A 20,216-nucleotide genomic window follows, 5' to 3' on the forward strand; every position below is an offset into this window, starting at 1 on the left:
CTTCCTTGTACATCTGGTAGAATTTGGCTGTGAGTCTGTCTGGTCCTGGACTTTTTTTGGTTGGTAGGCTATTAATTATTGCCTCAATTTCACAGCCTGTTATTGGTCTATTCAGAGATTCAACTTCTTCCTGGTTTAGTCTTGGGAGGGTGTATGTGTCCAGGAATTTATCCATTTCTTCTAGATTTTCTAGTTTATTTGTGTAGAGGTGTTTATAGTATTCTCTGATGGTAGTTTGTATTTCTGTGGGATCGGTGGTGATAACCCCTTTATCATTTTTTATTGCATCTCTTTGATTCTTCTCTCTTTTCTTCTTTATTAGATCAATTTTGTTGATCTTTTCAAAAAACCAGCTCCTGGATTCATTGATTTTTTGAAGGGTTTTTTGTGTCTCTGTCTCCTTCAGTTCTGCTCTGATCTTAGTTATTTCTTGCCTTCTGCTAGCTTTTGAATGTGTTTGCTCTTGCTTCTCTAGTTCTTTTAATTGTGATGTTACGGCATCAATTTTAGATCTTTCCTGCTTTCTCTTGTGGGCATTAAGTGCTATAAATTTTCCTCTACACACTGCTTTAAATGTGTCCCAGAGATTCTGGTATGTTGTGTCTTTGTTCTCATTGGTTTCAAATAACATCTTTATTTCTGCCTTCATTTCGTTATGTACCCAGTAGTCATTCAGGAGCAGGTTGTTCAGTTTCCATGTAGATGAGCAGTTTTGAGTGAGTTTCTTAATCCTGAGTTCTAGTTTGATTGCACTGTGGTCTGAGAGACAGTTTGTTTTGGCAAAATAAACTTTCTAACTTGATTGAGACTTGTCTCAGATACCTTTTGATTTACAGCAGAAGCAGAATTGAAAACAAAAACCACATAATCATCTCAATAGATGAAGAAGTCTTTCAGTAAAGTTCAACATGCCTTCATGTTAAAAACCCTCAAAAAATTAGGCATGGAAGAAGCATATCTCAAAATAATAAGAGCCATCTTTAACAAACCCCAAGTCAAGATTGTACTGAATGGGCAAAAGCTGGAAGCATTCCCCTTGAGAAACAGAACAAGACAAGGGTGTCCTCTCTCACCACTCCTATTCGATATAGTATTTAAAGTTCTAGCAGAGCAATCAGGCAAGAGAAAGAAATAAAAGGCATCCAGAGAGGAAGTCAAACTATCCCTGTTTGAAGATGACATGATTCTATACCTAGAAAACCCCATAGTCTCTGCCCAAAAGCTCCTAGATCTGATAAACAACTTCAGCAAAGTTTCTGGATACAAAATTAACATACAAAAATCAGTAACATTCCAATACACCAACAACATCCAAGCTGAGAGCCAAATCAAGAACACAACTCCATTCACAATTGCCGCAAAAAGCATGAAATACCTAGGAATACAGCTAATCAGAGAGATGAAAGATCTCTACAGTGAGAATTACAGAACACTGCTCAACAAAATCAGAGATAAACAAGTAGAAAAACATTCCATGCTCATAGTAGGAAGAATTGATATTGTTAAATTGCCATACTGCCCAAAGAAATTTACAGGTTCAATGCTATTCCTATCAAATTACCAATGATAGTCTTCACAGAATTAGAAAAAAAGATTTTAAAATTCATTTGGAATCAAAAAAGAGCCTGCATAGCCCAAGCAAGCCTAAGCAAAAAGAACAAAGCTGGAAGCATCACATTACCTGTCTCCAAACTTTACTACAAGGCTACAGTAAACAAAATAGCATGATGCTGGTACAAAAACAGACACATAGACCAGTGGAACATAATAGAGAGCTCAGAAATAAGGCCGCACATCTACAACCATCTGATCTTTGATAAAACTGACAAAAACAAGCAATGGAGAAAAGACTCCCTATTCAATAAATGGTGCTTGGATAACTGGCTAGCCATATGCGGAAAATTCAAACTGAACCCCTTTCTTACATCATATACAAAAATAAACTGAACATAGATTAAAGACTTAAATATGAAACCTAAAAATATAAAAACCCTGGAAGATAACCTGGGAAATACCATCCTGGACATAGGACCTGGCAAAGATTTCACAATGAAGACACCAAAGGCAATTGTAACAAAAACAAAAATTGACAAATGAAACTAGTTAAGCTAAAGAGCTTCTGCAGAGCAAAAGAAATTATCAATAGACTAAGCAGTTAACCTTCAGAATGAGAGAAAATATTTGCAAACTATGTATTTGACAAAGGTCTAATATCCAGAATCTATAAGGACTTAAACAAATTAGCAAGCAAAAACCAAACAACCTGATCAAAAAGTGGGCAAAGAACCTGAACAGACACTTTTCGAAAGAAGACATACACATGGCCAACAAGCATATGAAAAAATGCTCAATATTACTAGTGATTAGAAAAATGCAAATCAAAACCACAATAAGATACCATCTCACACCAGTTAGAATACACCATGGGATACTATGCAGCCATAAAAAGCAATGAGATCAAGTCCTTTGCAGGGAAATGGATGGAGCTGGAAGCCATTATCCTCAGCAAACCAATACAGTAACAGAAAACCAAACACCACATGTTCTGACTCATAAGTGACAGCTGAACAATAAGAACACATGGACACAGGGAGGGGAACAACACAAACTAGGACCTGTCAGAGTGGGGATGGGGTCAAGGAGAGCATGAGGAAAAATAGCTAATGCATGTGGGGCTTAATACTTAGGTGATGGATTGATAGGTACAGGAAACCACCATGGCACATGTTTACCTCTGTAATAAACTTGCATATCCTGGACATGTACCCCAGAAATTACTATAAAATTAAAAAAAGAAAATTCCAAAAAAAAAGTAAAAAAAAAAAAGTCAAAAAATAACAGATACTGGCATGGTTTCAGAGAAAAGGGGACACATATACACTGCTTGCTGGTGGGAATGCAAATTAGTTCAGCCATTGTGGAAAGCAGTGTGGTGATTTCTCAAAGAACTCAAAACAATTACTATTCGACCCAGCAATCCCATTATTGGGTATATATACCCAAAGTAATATAAATTACTGTACTATAAAGACACATGCACATGAATGTTCACCACAGCACTATTCACAATAGCAAAGACATGGAATCAACCTATATGCTCATCAACAGTAGACTGAATAAAGAAAATGTTCATGTACACCATGGGATAATACACGGCCATAAAAAAGAATGAGATCATGTTCTTTGCAGCAACGTGGATGGAGCAAGAGGCCATTAGCCTAAGGAACAGAAAATCAAATACTGTATGTTCACACTTGTAAGTGGGAACTAAACATTGAATACACATGGATACAAAGAAGGGAACAAGAGACACTGGGGTCTACTTGATGGGGGAGGGTGGGAGGAGAGTGAGGATCAAAAAACTACCTACTGAGTACATGTAATTTACCTATATAACAAACCTGCATATGTACCACTCAACCTAAAATAAAAGTTAAAAAAATTAACATAAAATATTTTCTAGTGAATATTCCCTATTCAAATTTCCTCAACTGTCACAGTAATGCCTTTGTAGTTAATTTTTTTTTTTTTTGAGGTGGAATTTCACTCTGTCTCCCAGGCCAGAGTGCAGTGGTGGGATCTCAGCTCGCTGCAACCTCCACTTCCCTAGATCAAGTGATTTTCCTGCTCCAGCCTCCCAAGTAGCTGGGATTACAGGTGCCCACCAGTACGCCCAGTTAATTTTTTTGTATTTTTAGTAGAGATGGGGTTTCACCATCAGATGGCCAGCCTGATCTTGAACTCCTGAACTCAAGTGATCTGCCTGTCTCAGCCTCCCAAAGTGCTGGGATTATGGATGTGAGCCACCGCGCCTGCCCTAAAAATTTTTAATCCAAGATTTAATCAAGGATTATACATTATCTTATTTTTGAAATTTGCTTTGTTTTCCATGTATCTATCACTAATTCATGCCCATCATTTCCAAGGGAAGAGTAAACTCCTTTCTCAGCAAGGTCAAATAAATGAGAAATCTATCAGTTCTGTTTGTTTTTCTTGGAGATGCCGCTCCCAAAAGTCTTCTTTGTATTATATGCCCACTGCACAGTTTCCTCTGGACACTTGGCGTCACACATCATCTCCCTCCTAGATTAGAGTCCATGTGAACTGGATCCCAGGTCTTTCTCTGTCTTGATTTGTTGTTCTTTTGTTTTGGTAAAAAAACATCCTTCAGTAGCTTCTTGCAGGAGGGTGCATTGGAGGTAAATTTTTTGAGAACGTGCATGCCTCAAAATATGCTACCCTCACATTCAGCTGGGAGTTTATTTGGGTATAGAATTCTAGGTGTAAATGTAACTTACTCTTAACATTTTGCAGGTACTGTTCTGTTGACTTCTAGTTCAGTGTGGATTAGACATCCAATACATTCTTTTTTTTTTTTTTTTTTTGAGACAAAGTCTCACTCTGTTGCCCAGGCTGGAGGGCAGTAGCACGATCTTGGTTCACTGCAACCTCTGCCTCCTGGGTTCAAGCGATTCTCCTGCCTCAGCCTCCCGAGTGGCTGGGATTACAGGCATGTGCCACTGCACCCAGTTAATTTTTGTATTTTTAGTAGAGACAAGGTTTCACCATGTTGGCCAGGCTGGTCTCGAACTCCTGACCACAGGTGATCTGCCTGCCTCTGCCTCCCAAAGTGCTGGGATTACAGACATGAGCCACCATGCCCGGCCCCAGTACATTCTTATTACTTGTTTCATGTCTATAACCTTTCCCTCTTCCCTCTGAAGGTTTTTAGGATTATGTATCCCTCATGTTCTAAAATTGTGCAGTGGTATGCCTTCGGTCATTTTTTTTAATTTTAATTCAGGAAGCTGGGTACTAGGTTGATGCTTTCAATTTGGAAACTTATTTCTTTCAGTTTGGGGGAAATATTTTTGTATTATTAAAGAAATAATGTTCTTGTATTATTTCTTTAATAATACAAGAACATTTGATTTATTCTCATTTATTTTTCCAGATCCTCTTTAGTCTAATGTTGAGGATCCTGGATTTACCTCCTAAATATTTCCATCATTTTTCTATTTTCTCCTTCTGCTTTTTTTGAGACTTTCTGAAACTTTTCTTCTAACCATATTTTTTTTTTTTTTTTTTTTTTTTTTTTTTTTTTTTTTTTTTTTTTTTTTTAGACACTGTCTAACTCTGTGGCCTGGCCCAGGCTGGAGTGCAGTGGTGCAATCTCAGCTCACTGCAACCTCTGCCTTCTGGGCTCAGGTGATCCTCCCACCTCAGCCTCCCAAGTAGTTGGGACTACAGACGTGTGCCACCACATCTGGCTAATTTTTGTCTTTTTTGTAGAAACTGTATTTTGCCATGTTGCCCAGTCTGGTCTCAAACTCCTGGGCTTGAGCAATCTACCTGCCTTGGCCTCCCAAACTGTTGGGATTATAGGTATAAACCACCATACCCAGCTGTCTTCTAATCTTTCTACTGAAGTTTTCATTCTTGTTATATTTTTAATTTCCAAGAGTTCCTTCTCATTCTCTGTTTCTTTTGTTTTTTTTTTTTTTTTTTTTTTTAAAAAAAGCCTGGGCGTGGTGGCTCACACCTGTAATCCCAGCACTTTGGGAGGCCAAGGCGGGTGGATCATAAGGTCAGGAGTTCCAGACTAGCCTGGCCAATATGGTGAAACCCCATCTCTACTAAAAATACAAAAATTAGCCAGGCGTGGTGGTGCGTGCCTGTAGTCCCAGCTACTTGGAAGGCTGAGCCAGAAGAATCACTTGAACCCGTGAGGCGGAGGTTGTAGTGAGCCGAGATTGCACCACTGAACTCCAGCCTGGGCGACAGAGTGAGACTCCGTCTCAAAAAAGCAAAACAAAATGAAACAAAACAAAATGAAACAAAACAAAACAAAACAAACAAACAACAACAAAAACCTGGGCACAGTGGCACATGCCTGTAGTCCAAGCTACTCAGGAGGCTCAGAAGATCTCTTGAGCCTAGGAATTCAAGGCCAGGCTGGGAAACATAGCAAGACCTTGTCTCTAAAACAACAAAAACAACAACAAACCCTTCCTGATAGCACCTTTTTAATGTTTCATGGGTCCAACAGCTTTTCTTCTTTTTCAGAGGATACTAATTGCAGTTTCTTTGAAATTTTCTTCTTTTGTCTCTGGTTCCTCTAAGTTCCCCCATCCACATTTTTTTGCCTTGGTATATGCCTCTTATACCAAGAGGCTTTCCTATATAGGAAAGTTGGAGGCTTTCCTATATAGGAAAGTTGGAGGCTTTCCTATATAGGAAAGTTGGAGGCTTTCCTATATAGGAAAGTTGGAGGCTTTCCTATATAGGAAAGTTGGAGGCTTTCCTATAATGTCGTTGATCTTTGGTTGTCTGTTTATATTTAAGACTGAGGATGGAAAGCTGATTGTGGTGGGAAGTGGGAAAGCCTGGTGAATAGTAAGCTTCCCTGGAGGATTAGCAAGCAAGGAGCGAGCCAATTTCTGGCAGCCTTGCCAAATGTTAGTGTCATAGTAGGATCTTTTCATCGCCAGTTTTGTAGGGAGCAGATTTCTGGGAAATGAAGGGGAAAAAGGCTGGGAGGTCTTGCAGGCCAGTATGCAGATTACCCCAATTTTTATTCTCTTTTCAGTTCACCCTGGCTCCTACTTTTCCAGGCACCTGGAAGAACTTTTGATGTCTGACTCCCAGGGTTCTGAGGTGAGGTAGGCTGGCTTCTTGCTGGTCTCCCCTCTGTTGTTGTGTGGGTTTCAGTGTTTTCCTAGTCAGTCCCACTCAGCCAGTGGCTGCCAACCTCCTGAAACTGTGATCTGGTCTGCTGTTGTTTTCTTCTTCCACTCTTTTTTTTTTTTTTTGAGACAGAGTCTTGCTCTGTTGCCAGGCTGGAGTGCAGTGGCATGATCTCGGCTCATTGCAACCTCCACCTCCCGGGTTCAAGTGATTCTCCTGCCTCAGTCTCCCAAGTAGCTGGGAGTACAGGCGTGTGCCACCACGCCCAGCTAATTTTTTGCATTTTTAGTAGAGGCAGGGTTTCACTGTGTTAGCCAGGATGGTCTCGATCTCCTGACCTCGTGATCCACCCGCCTCGGCCTCCAAAGTGCTGGGATTACAGGCATGAGCCACCGCGCCCGGCTCTTCTTCCACTCTTTATTTCTGTGTGGATTTATAACTTTTACTTTCCTCTTCTATCTTTTGAGAGAGCGTTGGAATGGAGTGGAGACAAAAGCTCATGTTCAGTTTTCCATCTTATTAGGTAATCAATTTGTTATTATGCTTTTCAGGTAATCACTTCATGGTTTTTCTTTAAAAGAGGACTTCTTCAATGACATGTATAATTAAATACATCATAGTTTATTTTATCATGGGAATAAATGCTTGACTAGTTAAAGGATACTTAGCATATATTAGGGTTGCCTAGTGGACAAGCTGAATTCAGCACCATAGGCTTTGACCAAAAGAAAGCCCCCTGAAACCTACAAAAAGAGTTAGAAAGCATCACTTACTATATTCTTGGTGTCTCTGCAAAATCTCGCCAAATAGAAGAGTATCTCTTCTACTATATGGAAAGAACACACATGCACATTTATTTTGTGGTTTACTTTAGTATCTATTTCATTTCATCTTCATGGCTACCTTAAAATCTTACAGTTGAAATTTAACATGTTTTACCGTTAATTTCCTTGTGGGAAATGAAAAACAATAACTGACTGGACTGTTCTCCCTTCTTTATAGCAGTTTTTTAACAAATTATTATTCAGTGGGGATTAGATTTGATTCTGTTCGCCTCTGGGATGTTGTACTAGTCCACGGCTGGTCTTTCCTAGGAATTAATTGAAAAGGAAATGGTAGATATGATTAGATTGCTGGACCCAGTAAAAAGGTAGACGCTGAGAGGTACCCGTGGCCAACTGAGACAAGCTGCCCATGAATTATGCTGCTCTGTGCTTATTAAGACTTCATGTTGCACAGAAATGGATTGAAAAGATGTAAGTTATCCAGTCTCTCAATATTACCCTCAATAATTTACTTCCAAAAAGAAAAAAACTGATCTGAAGATTTCAGGCAAGAATTTAAAATTGCTAATCTCATTTCATAACTCCAAAAGGATTTTATGTCTGTCACTGTAAAACCTGCTGTGGATATTCCTAAGTCTCAATTCAGCCAACTTCCGAGAATTCCCACAGCATGAAAATACATGAATCGCCAGTGCTTGGGCTAAATGCAAACCAATTAAGCTTTTAAATAGCTGAAGTGTGAGCTAAAGCCTGCTACATAATTTAAATGCCATCTAGTGGCCAAATGTCATCTTTAGTCCTCATTCAAAACAGTTTTGGTGCCTTCTGGTATTTATCTTAGGGTGATATACCAAATAGTTTTGAGTCAATCATATGATAGCCACTTCTGCTTTCAGAGTGAAACGAAATTGGAATATGATAAAAAATGTTTAACAGCTTGAAATGTGCGTAAGTCCCAGCTTTTATTCCAGGGTCATCTGCTTATATGGCTATAAAACAGAGTTGTTGCTTGGTTTGACTAGTATGCCATCAAATAGTACCCGTAAGCTGGGCACAGTGGCTCACACCTGTAATCCCAGTACTTTGGGAGGCCGAGGCAGGTGGATCACTTGAAGCCAGGAGCTCAAGACCATCCTAACCAACATGGTGAAATCCCATATCTACTAAAAATACAAAAAATTACCAGGCATGGTGGTGCATGCCTGTAGTCCCAGCTCCTCGGGGAGGTTGAGGTGGGAGAATCACTTAAAGCCAGGAGGCAGAGTTTGCAGTGAGCCGACATTGCACCACGGCACTCCAACCTGGGTGACAGAGCGAGACCTTGTCTCAAAACCAACCAACCAACCAACCAAACAAAAAACCCAAATAGCACCCATAGTTATAATTTACTATTTTGCCATTGAAAAATTAAAGCATATATGTAATGTTAGGAAGCTAATATAGGACCGTATTTTAATCATTGATAGACAGAGGATTTAAAGGATCAGGCTTCAGTCTTAGCAAATGAAGTAGCTGTGAGAGAGACATATCATTTGTCCATAAGTAAGTGCCATGCACAAGCACATTAGTATGATTATAATAATAGTGGCCTTGAGAGCAGCAGCCAACATAGATTAAATGCTTATATGCCAGGTACTGTTCTGCATGCTCTGCTTGTATTAATTCATTTGATCTTCACAATAACCTAATGAGGTAGGTATTGTGGTTGCACCCATTTTATAGGCAAATTGGGGCACAGAGTGGTTAAATTTCATGCCCACTAGAGAGAGGCCGAATAGGAATTGGAGCATTTGGAGTATCCTTTGGTCTTTTAGCTGGTTTGGATTTTGGGTAGTGCTTTGGTGGAAGGATCCTCAGAGAATCATGAAAGACCCTTTAATATAACAAGGACACAGTCAGCACTTGATCATCCTATGATCTAGGCAGAGTCTAGATCTAGGCAATGCTCTAGGAAGAGTCTGGGAATGTTGGCTCAAGGATGAGGCTGTGCAAACAAGGCTCTCTCTGGGTCCCTGGCAAGAACAGCTTTGGTTAGACCTACCTGCTCTTTTGGCTCTGTGGGGGTAAATCATCTCTGGAGAATTGAGAGTGGATTTTGCTTTTGTATAATTGTGGTCTGGGGTTATTTGTAACGTCTTTCTCTCTCTGTTTAGATCATAGAGTTGATTGATTTGAGTGCAACCAAACTAGCTGTGGTCATTCAATAAATAAGACACCATTAAGCATTTTTCTTCTTACTGGTCACAGATATGGTTCTATTCTTTCACTTTGGACATGTGATCATATAAAGCCTTAAGGATAAGAAATTAGGTTACTACCTCACATAGGGATTTGTTGATTGTATTGTATTGCATTATTGTATTGTATTTATTTATTTATTTTGAGACAGAGTTTCACTCTGTTGCCCACGCTGGAGTGCAGTGGGGCAATCATGGCTCACTGCAGCCTTGACGTCCCAGACTCAAGCGATCCTCCCACCTCAGCCTCCCAAGTAGCTGGGACTGCAGGCATGTGCCACCACACCTGTCTAGTTTTTTTAAAAAAAATTTTTGTAGAGGGGTCTTGCCATGTTGCCTAGGCTGGTCTCGAAGTCCTGGTCTCAAGTGATCCTCCCACCTTGCCCTCCCAAAGTGCTGGGATTATAGGCATCAGCCACTGCACCCTGCCTGCTTTATTAATTTTAGTGAGCCTCACATACAGTTTTCAAAGTCAATAACCATGGGTTTATTATCCTCAATTTACAGATAAGAAAACTAGGATGAAAGAGATTACGTGGTTTGCCCAAATTCACATGATATATGGCTATAGAAGTAAGACTAGAACCTAGGCATTTCATTGAATATGCTAAACACACATATACACACTCATTTTTCTAGGTATATAGTATTAATATGTGCATATGTATAAATGACAATGACAATTGAGTATTTAAACATTTCAAGATGTGAACATGAAAATTATGCTAATTCTATTTTTTTAAAAATAGAGACTGAGTTTCACTCAGTTGCCCAGGGTGGAATGCAGTGGTGTGATCATAGAGTTGTAACCTTCAACTCCTGGGCTCAAATGATCCTCCCACCTCAGCCTCCACGTAGTCTCCTCAGTAGCCAGGACTACACGTGCATGCTACCGTGCCCTACTAATTTTTTAAATTTTTTGTAGAGATGGACCTTTAATTTCAGTTTTGTCATCTATTCTGTACTTTCTCAGTTACTATTAAAAGATCTTCAATAGGACAGATAATCAAATCATCTATATAACATAAATAATTTAAATGTTTTACTGACTAAAAGACAGAATCTAGGTAATCTTTCAAGGCTTACTCTAGATTTCTAGTTTTATTAGTTTTTAATTTAAGAAATTTATTAAGGATTTCTTTTCATAAGATGATATACCTTTACAGCAGTTTAACAAGCTTATCATGCTTCATACAATTTATCCAGAAGGAGGCAGCATTTTACTATTAAATTGATGCTTCCGCAAAGGTTCTAAATTGTTTTGTTTTGTTTTTTAAAGATGTAAACTATCTAAATACACACACCCTAAATCCTTTCAGGGCAAAGATTCCTGACTATCACTAGAGCTTTGCATATTGCCACAACTGTGAAATCCAAATTCCACTCAGATTAAATGCATCTAAAATTACAAATAGCATAGATAGTAGCAAAATTCATTGGCAGAAACCATTTTTGCAATAAAGATATTGATCAAAATAATTTAGAGTTGAACAGAAGATGGAGTAGAAGGGAAAATGAATGATTCAGTTGTTGCTAACTTGTAGAAAATAAGTATTTGGTTAATAAGAGATCAACTTGTTGAAAAAAATTTGATTCACTCAGAAACAAGGATAATGAATTAGTTTTAATCATCTAGCTAAATTCATAAATGGGACTTGCTGTTTCTTTTGATGTTTTTATTGAATCATAGGATCTTTAGAAAGAAACTTGAAATTTCCTGTGGCATATTTCAGTGATTGCTGGTCAGAACTCATTTCATCTATCACGGAAAATGAGAGTCTATCTGCTTTCAGAGGATTAGGAAGAAGGGAATTCCACCATGATAAGGGAAATTAAGTTATGAGAATAACAGGATGGCAGAGGGGCCTTTTTCTGTTGCCCTGTATTTGACACAGAGCCCAGAGCTAAAAACAGTAACTGGGGTCTGGTGCTTTCTCCAGAGTATTCCTAAGGGGCTAAAGAACTATACACCAGTCCCCACCCACCTCCTCTGTCCCTTAACACCCTGTCCTTGGGGAGTAAGTAGGGTGGAGTGATTTCCCCCCTGCCATCACTAAGGGGCTGCTTCCCACTCCCATTTCCAAGTGAAGAAAGAGACTGTCCCCATCGTGACCTCTACTTAGGCATAAGATTTGCTAGGCTATTCATTCTACTAGAGCAGAGGAGATGCAAGCTAGGAGAGATGGGTGATCAGAGAGAAGAGGCTACAGTGGAACAGTCAGCTTGCCTGTCCATTATGTGGCATGGCCAGGGTGCAAGAAATTCCTTAGGGCAAGAGGACATATGGAAGGCAGGTGCCTTCGAGCCAACTTGCTGTAACAACATCCTCCCTTCCCAGGGCTATGCACCATGACTTGGAGTGTATTACTGGGGATACTTGAGGGAGTGGATGGGAAAGACCCAGCCATAGCTCAGTCTTCCATATGGGGGTGTGCAGTGGGAAGACACCCCCAGGGCCCTCTGACTGGCTCTCACATGTGCTCCAAAAGGTGGACTTGAGAGGCCGGCACTCACACTCAGGGTTTTCTGGAGAAGCAGAGCGGCGGGCAGAGTGAGGGCCACAGCTGATCCTGTTGGGTGGAAAGACCCTGTCCCTTTCCTTCCCACTCTTCCTGACTAAAATACTCGAGCAGGGCATAGGAGAGGGAGGAGGAGGGGTATCTCAGAGCCCGCACTCCCCCTCACCCATCTTACTTCAAACAGCCGGGGTCCTGACTCAAGCGTTCTTTGGAGTGGGAGGAGATGGAATTTAAATGGAGTTTGAAATTGAAGTTTTAGTTGGTTTTTTAATAACCAAAAATGAATAGAAAGTGATGCAATTTTGGCCAGGGGCAGTGGCTCATGTCTGTAATCCCAGCATTTTGGGAGGCCAAGGCAAGAGTGTTGCTTGAGTTCAGGAGTCCAAGACCAGGCTGGACAACATGGCGAAATCCCGTCTCTACAAAAAATACAAAAATTAGCCAGAAGTGGTGGTGCACACCTGTGTTCCCAGCTACTTGGGAGGCTGAGGTGGGAGAATCACTTGAATCCCTGAGGTTGACAGTGCAGTGAGCTGTGTTCATGCCACTGCACTTCAGCCTGGGTTACAGAGCAGGAGACCCTGTCTCAAAAAAAAAAAAAAAAGATGCAATCTGTCTAGGATGCCATGGAGAGATGGGAAAGGGAAGTATGGAATTTGGATAAAGGGTTAGGAAAAAGTTGAAAGATTTCATATTTATGATCCAGTAAGTAGAGCTAAATTGGCTATATAAGTATGTAATGGTAATGCTATTTAAACACTAATATAATTTTTATTTTTCCTAATTCCTGTTCCTCCTCCACCCTTCATCATTAAGGCTTATTTAACAGGGAAAGAAAGGACAGTATCAAAGAAGTTCTGAGGGAAATCAAGATGATCAGTGTTCCTTAACCAACAGAAAGAGAAAATAGATAACCGTTTTAGTTTTTAGGAAGCTGTGTGTGTATGTGTGTATGTGTGTGTGGTGTGGGTGGGTGGGAAGGACAGACATTACACACACACACACACACACACACACACACACACACACACACATACTCTCACACTTTGTAACTCTGTACCCAGGACAGGGAGAGGAAGGAGAGTGTAGGGGAAGAGACAGGGAATATGTGGTCAAATAATTGGATCCTGATTTTCTCCTCATACCTACTTGGCCAAAGGAGAAACAGAGTTTTAAAAAAAGGTCTTTTGGTGGGGGCTATATTCCCAGAGCGAGGAGGTTTGTGTCTAGTTTCCCTAGATACAGGCTAGGAAAATTTCAGGCCTTCCAGGAGAATCAAAATATCTAACACGGAACCCCACAGGCAGTGAATTAGACATGGCTGCAGATGGCATCTAAGCAGAGAGAGGGTCAAATATAGAGCCCCAATATCACGAATCATCAGATAAATGCAAGACAAAACCATGGTGAGATATCTTCTCACATGAGTCAGAATAGCTATAACTTGAAAGTCCAAAAATTACAGATGTTGGCAAGGTTGCAGAGAAAAGGGAACACTTATACACTGTTGGTGGAAGTATAAATTAGTTCAGACCCTATGGAAAGCAGTTGGGAGATTTCTCAAAGAACTGAAAACAGAATTGCCATTTGACCCAGCTATGCCATTGCTGGGTATATATATACCTAAAGAAAAATAAATGGTCCTACCAAAATGACACCTGCATTCATATGTTTATCATAGCACTATTTACAATAGCAAAGACATGGAATCAATCCATGTGCTCATCAATGGCGGATTAAATTAAAAAATGGGTGCTGTGTGTCCAGGCTGTAAAAAAAAAAAATAAAGACAAAAATAAAAATTAAAAATTTGGTACATATACACCATGGAATACTATGCAGCCATTAAAAGAATGAAATCATGTCCTTTGCAGCAACATGGATGTAGCTGGAGGCCATTATTCTAAGAGAATTAACACAGGAACAGAAAACCAAATATTCTCACTTATAAGTGGAAGCTAAACACTGGGTACACAAGGACACAAAGATGGGAACAGTAAACACTGGGGATCCCAGAATGGGAGAGGAAAGAAGTGGGACAAGAGTTGAAAAGCTACCTATCAGGTACTATGTTCACCACGTCAGTGACAGGATCATTAGAAGTCCACACCTTAGCATCATGCAGTATTCCCATGTAACAAACCTGCACATGTACCCCCTGCATCTAAAATAATTTTTTTTTGAAAAGAGAAACTTTTGGAAGTCTTGGTTATATTCTCTGTCTTTACTGTGGTGGTGATTTCATGGGTATATACATATGTCAAAACTTTTCAAATAGCACATTTGAAATATATGCAGTTTATGGTATGTCAGTTATAATTCATAAATCTAGGGGTTTTATCCCCTGAAAGGAATAAACTTCTGATACATACAATAAGATGACTGCATCTCAAAATGCTAAATGAAAAAAGAGCAAGACACAAAAGGCTACAAATGATATGGTTCTACTTATATATTATTCTGGAAAAGCCAATGTTACACAACACTACAGAAATCAGATCAGTGGTTGCCTGGGGAGTGGTGGCAGGTGCTGACTGCAAAAGGGCACAGGGAATTTGAGGGGTGGGAGATGCAGAAATGTTCTATATTTTCATTGTGGTAATGGTTACACAACTACATACATTTGTCAAGACTCATTAAAACATGCGTGAAAAGGGATTTTACTGAATGTATATTATATCTCAATAACCCTGACAAAAGTAAAAAACAAACAGCCCAAATAGAGAGCCCCAAGAATGCCTTGGCTTTTGCTTTTGTGATGCGGAAGGATCCAGAAATTCTTACATTCTGCTGTGGGATTGAAACCAGAGGCCTCCAACCAGGGATCTGGGAGCAACATGTGGGTAAGACACCCTCTGCCCCGCAAGCTCCCGCAAGCTCCCTGGTGCAAGCCTGCCAGGGGCTGTTGGAGGAAGAGGTGGAAGTAGAGCCAGAGGATTTGCAGAGCCAGCCTGAATGAAGGCGGGGCCAGTTAACAGGGGCAAGGACCTGTGAGACCCTTGCTTTACCCAAAAAGCTGACCACAGATGTCACTGGCAGGGTGTTACCAGGGAATATGTCTGAAGAGGCCAGCCCTGGGGTCAACTGTCTCCCTCAGCTGCCCCCGGAGACATGTAATCTCTGTTCTACACTCAGGTCCCTATTTTGTGAAGGAGCAGGGAGGAATGGGAGAAACAAATCTCCGAGGGCATTTGAACTTTGAACTGACTGCATATTGATCTGAAAAAGACTGTTTAAAGCGAGGTAACTGATTGACTCTTTTTTTTTTTTTTTTTTAGACGGAATCTTTCTCTGTTCACCCAGGCTGGAGTACAGTGGCATGATCTCGGTTCACTGCAGCCTCCACCTCCCAAGTTTGAGTGATTCTCCTGCCTCAGCCTCCCAAGTAGCTGGGATTACAGGCCGAGTAGCTGGGATTACAGGCGTGCACTACCACGCCTGGCTAATTTTTTGTAGAGACGTGTTTTGCCTTGTCCCGGATGGTCTCGAACTCCTGGCTTCAAGTGATCCTCCGACCTCAGTCTCCCAAAGTGCTAGGATTACAGGCTTGAACCACCACACCTGGCCGTTGACTCTTTTTTTTGAGACGGAGTCTCACTTTGTCACCCAGGCTGGAGTGTGGTGGCATGATTTTGGCTAACTGCAACTTCTGCCTCCTGGGTTGAAGCGATTCTCCCGCCTCAGGCTTCCAAGTAGCTGGGATTACAGGAGTGGTCTTGAACTCTTGACCTCAGGTGATCCACCCTCCTTGACCTCCCAAAGTGCTGGGATTACAGGCATGAGCCATTGCCCCTGGCTGGCCACTGACACTTAACCAGCAAATTCATACCTTTCCTATCCCACTCCATCCTGCCACCTCTAAAAGTGGGAATGGAGCTTTTGAGGAAGTTTATATCATTTATAGAAAGGCACAATGCTGGCTGGGCGTGGTGGCTCATACCTGTAATCCCAGCACTTTGGGAGGCCAAGGCAGGCAGATCATGAGGTCACGAGTTTGAGACCAGCCTCACCAACATGGTGAAACTCTGTCTCTACCAAAAATGCAAAAATTAGCTGGGTGTGGTGGCATGCACCTGTAATCCCAGCTACTTGGGAGGCTGAGGTAGGAGAATCGCTTGAACTTGGGAGGCAGAGGTTGCAGTGAGCCGAGATCACTCCATTGCACTCCAGCTTGGGCAACAGAGCAAGACTCTGTATCAAAAAAAAAAAAAAAAAAAAAAAAAAAAAAAAAAAGGCACAATGCTGCCATCTTTTTGGTGCATATAAACTGCAGCATGTCATTAAACAAATCCTGCTATGAGTATTTTCAGGCGTCCTTCTCCCCACAGTGCCTGTGTGGGTAGAGGGTGAGACTTGGGTTGTGGGGAGGAGGCTACAAGAGAGAGAAAGAGAATTTGAGGGAGATGAAGAGGGAGAGAGGGATTGACTTGGAGAGGGGAATGAGAGGAGGAAACACAAGGAGGGACTCAGAGCCTACTAGAGTAAAGGAGTTTGCCGGGAGGACTGAGCTTTTGGGGAAAGGAGAGGAATTGGAGAGGATTCTAAGGAAGCCTTGCTCTGTGATGTGTCCTGTGATCCCCTGCTGATCTCATCGAGACACCTTCTGTGAAGAAATGTGTTCAATTCCACTCCCTGGAGTCTGCTCTCCTGTTTCCATTCTGAGGCTTCAGTGTGCTAGGATTGGCTTTGGGGCCCGGGCACCTTGGGGTCACGCACTTTTCATACAGCGGTCACCCAGGCGAGAGCTGAACAGATTCCCCTTATTGTGGAGACTGTCTTTTGTCTATGCCTTTATGTTGAAATATATGGCGTCCTATCCTGTTTTGTCCCATTGGAGAGCTGTCTGTCCCTGATCTGCATAACAGCCATATTAAATGGAAGTTTACTATGAAATCGGCTTCCAGGCTTTCTTAGGTGGAATAGCTGCAGTTTCTTTATTCTTTTGCACAAGTTGCTGTAGGCTTTCCTTCTTTGAGTTCTTTAATCATCTTTAAGCTTCCTGGGATTTGCCAGGTATGTTTTCAGCTAATTAGCCTAGAGTAGGATTAGCAAACATCCCAAACAGTGCTTGGCTCATGTGTTTATGAGTCATGCTGTATCTCTTTTAACTACTTTACATTTATTTCTTCAAACTATTTGTTTAATTAAATAAAATGTCAAATTTTAGTTATAATGGGCTCAATGATTTCACCTGTCTGCTAAGTTATTTGGGCTTCTTCAGACTTGGATCTCACTGCCTTTTGTAACAACATTGGCTTTCGTATGACATAGAGGACATTGGTATCATATATATATGTATATATATGTGTATATATATGTGTATGTATGTATATATATGTGTATATATGTATATATGTGTATATATGTATATATGTGTATATATGTATATATGTGTATATATGTATATATGTGTATATATGTGTGTGTATATATATATATATTTTTTTTTTCTTGAGACAGGATCTCACTCTGTTGCCCAGGATGGAGTGCAGTGGTGCAATCATAGCTCGCTGCAGTCTCGAACTCCTGGGTTCCAGAGATCCTCCCAAAGTACTGGGATGATAAACTTGAGCCATGGCATCTGGCCCTTATGATTTTTTTTTTTGATAGTCTATTTTCAAGGTAAAACACTTAGTGAATATTTAGAAGTTTAGATTGTTAAAAAAATTAGTGTGTGTTTACTTAAAACGAGAGAACTTTAAGTCTATCATAAATGTCTATTTTGGTTGATTATGGGTCTAGTGAGGCATAACACACAAAAATGTTGAACATTCCATTTAACCATGTGGGAAAACTGGGAATTCTGAAGGATTAAATTTTGGTAGAAGACAATGGGAAAATTCCATATAACTAAGAGGAGATGAGAAGAAGTATATAAGCTTATAATTTTCTGGAAAAAAAGTAAAAAGGACTTTTTTTTTTTTTTAAATTCTGGGTAGAAAGGTAGGGGAAACAGTTTCAGAATTTCTAAAATATATTGCTTTTATGCCTTGAATTTTATGGTCCACTTTAAGGCTTGAAAATAGTATTTACAAAAACTGATTTGATTATTTATACCAAGGGCATCTTTCATAATCAAAGGCTACCTGGAGATAAACTCTATGATATTTGACAATAGTATAAAACACTTCAATACTCATGATCTCAGGCACAACCTGTAGATGTATTTAAAGGGATTTCTTGATGCTATATTGATTTTTTTTGGACAAATAAAAGCTATTTTGACACATCAAGTACATTAATTTATTTTGACCAAAAGGATAGAAAGTAAAGCCATGCCTAAGAATGTGTTAGAAGTACAAAATATTATAAAAATTTGAGCTAATTATTTAGATAATTCAAATATTAAAGTTTGAATTATTCATTAGAGGTAAAGTGAATTTCTGTTGAATCCTTTATTGAATTGACTTTGTTCTCTTAATGGAGAATTAGCCTCAAAACTAGGAAGTGATAAGTAGCCGGGGGCGGTGGCTCACGCCTGTAATCCCAGCACTTTGGGAGGCCAAGGTGGGTGGATCACAAGGTCAGGAGTTCGAGACCAGCCTAGCCAATATGGTGAAACCCCGTCTCTACTAAAAATACAAAAATTAGCCGAGTGCCGTAGTGTGTGCCTGTAGTCTCAGCTACTCGGGAGGCTGAGGCAGAAGAATCGCTTGAACCTGGGAGTGGAGGTTGCAGTGAGCCGAGATCGTGCCACTGCACTCCAGCCTGGGCGACAGAGCAAGACTCCGTCTCAAAAAAAAAAAAACCTAGGAAGTGATAAGATTGGAAATAATGTGCTTGGTTTTTTTTTTTTTTTTTTTTTTTTTTGGGTTGGGTGTATCATTTTATTTATTTTTGTTTTTATTCTTATTTTTATTTTTATTCTTATTTTTTTTTGAGACAGAGTTTCTTTCTTGTTGCCCAGCTAGAGTGCAATGGCACAATCTCTGCTCACCGCAACCTCCACCTCCCAGGTTCAAGCGATTCTCCTGCCTCAGCCTCCCGAGTAGCTGGGATACAGACATATGCCACCACACCCAGCTAATTTTGTATTTTTAGTAGAGACGGGGTTTCTCCATGTTGGTCAGGCTGGTCTTGAACTCCCGACCTCAGGTGATCTGCCTGCCTCGGCCTCCCAACATGCTGGGATTACAGGCGTGAGCCACCATGCTCAGCAGTGTGCGTCATTTTAGTAGCAAATTATTTATTTGATGCTTAGGTACCTAGCCATTAGAAAATGTGTTCATTCCCGCTTTGTTTAGTTTAATATTTTGGACTTTTGCCTTATTTTCTTTCATTACTTCTTTTGTTTTCATCAGTTTTCTTGTTTAAAATGGAAACAGAATGCTCTAGAATAAGCTTAGTTCTCAAGTTTGTCCACTTATTTTCTGACTGTCAGTGATCTCATTAATCATAATATAATCCTTGGTAAGCGAGGACTAGAGATATGCATTGTGAAAGAAAACAAAAAGAGGAGGGCACAGAAGGAAGATGGGGTGGATTCAGTCTCCACTGCCACTGTGGTTATATCAGACTCAGAAAGTAAACATGCCTGTGCTCAGATCACGCACATCTAGTGGCATACATTTGTCAACACCCAACACCACAAAATCATTAAAAATCAAATCAAAAAGGATAAATTATCATTCTGAACAATATGACACAGGTACAGTTTAGTCCTCTTCCTTCTTCTGATATCTAGTTGTGTCTTTCCATCACTGTAGGCAGACCGAAGTGACATCACATTTGAGGTGCAATCAATATAATTAATCACCTTGGAGGTGAGACATATTGGTTCTCAAGAACTGGGTCTGACGTCAAAGGAGAGCAATCTTGCAAGTGCAGAAGAAAGGAGTATCAAACAGTGCACCTATCTTGGGGACCTCGACCTTCCAATAAATCACATCATAGCACACCTACCATGACAATATTTCACATTTTCAAAACAATTTTGGTGTAAGTATCTTGTGCATTTTTTTAAATTTTTTTTGAGACAGAGTCTTCTC

The 20,216-nt window shown here is 40.3% G+C and overlaps 1 long non-coding RNA gene across 1 annotated transcript in view, besides 1 other annotated feature; it reads left to right on the forward strand.

Moving 5' to 3' along the window:
- LOC101928236 (uncharacterized) overlaps positions 1–20,216 on the forward strand; it is a 220,247-nt gene that overhangs the window by 19,910 nt on the left and 180,121 nt on the right. The gene's annotated exons all lie outside the window — the stretch shown is intronic.
- Positions 8,293–8,342: a silencer, noted in NCBI's record as "silent region_14846". NCBI's record gives its function as "represses an Ori minimal core promoter by ATAC-STARR-seq in GM12878 lymphoblastoid cells {active_cell/tissue: GM12878}" and the evidence as "EXISTENCE:reporter gene assay evidence [ECO:0000049][PMID:35858748]".

The sequence above is a fragment of the Homo sapiens genome, chromosome 3, assembly GCF_000001405.40.
Source record: "Homo sapiens chromosome 3, GRCh38.p14 Primary Assembly".
Taxonomy (NCBI): Eukaryota; Metazoa; Chordata; class Mammalia; order Primates; family Hominidae; genus Homo; species Homo sapiens.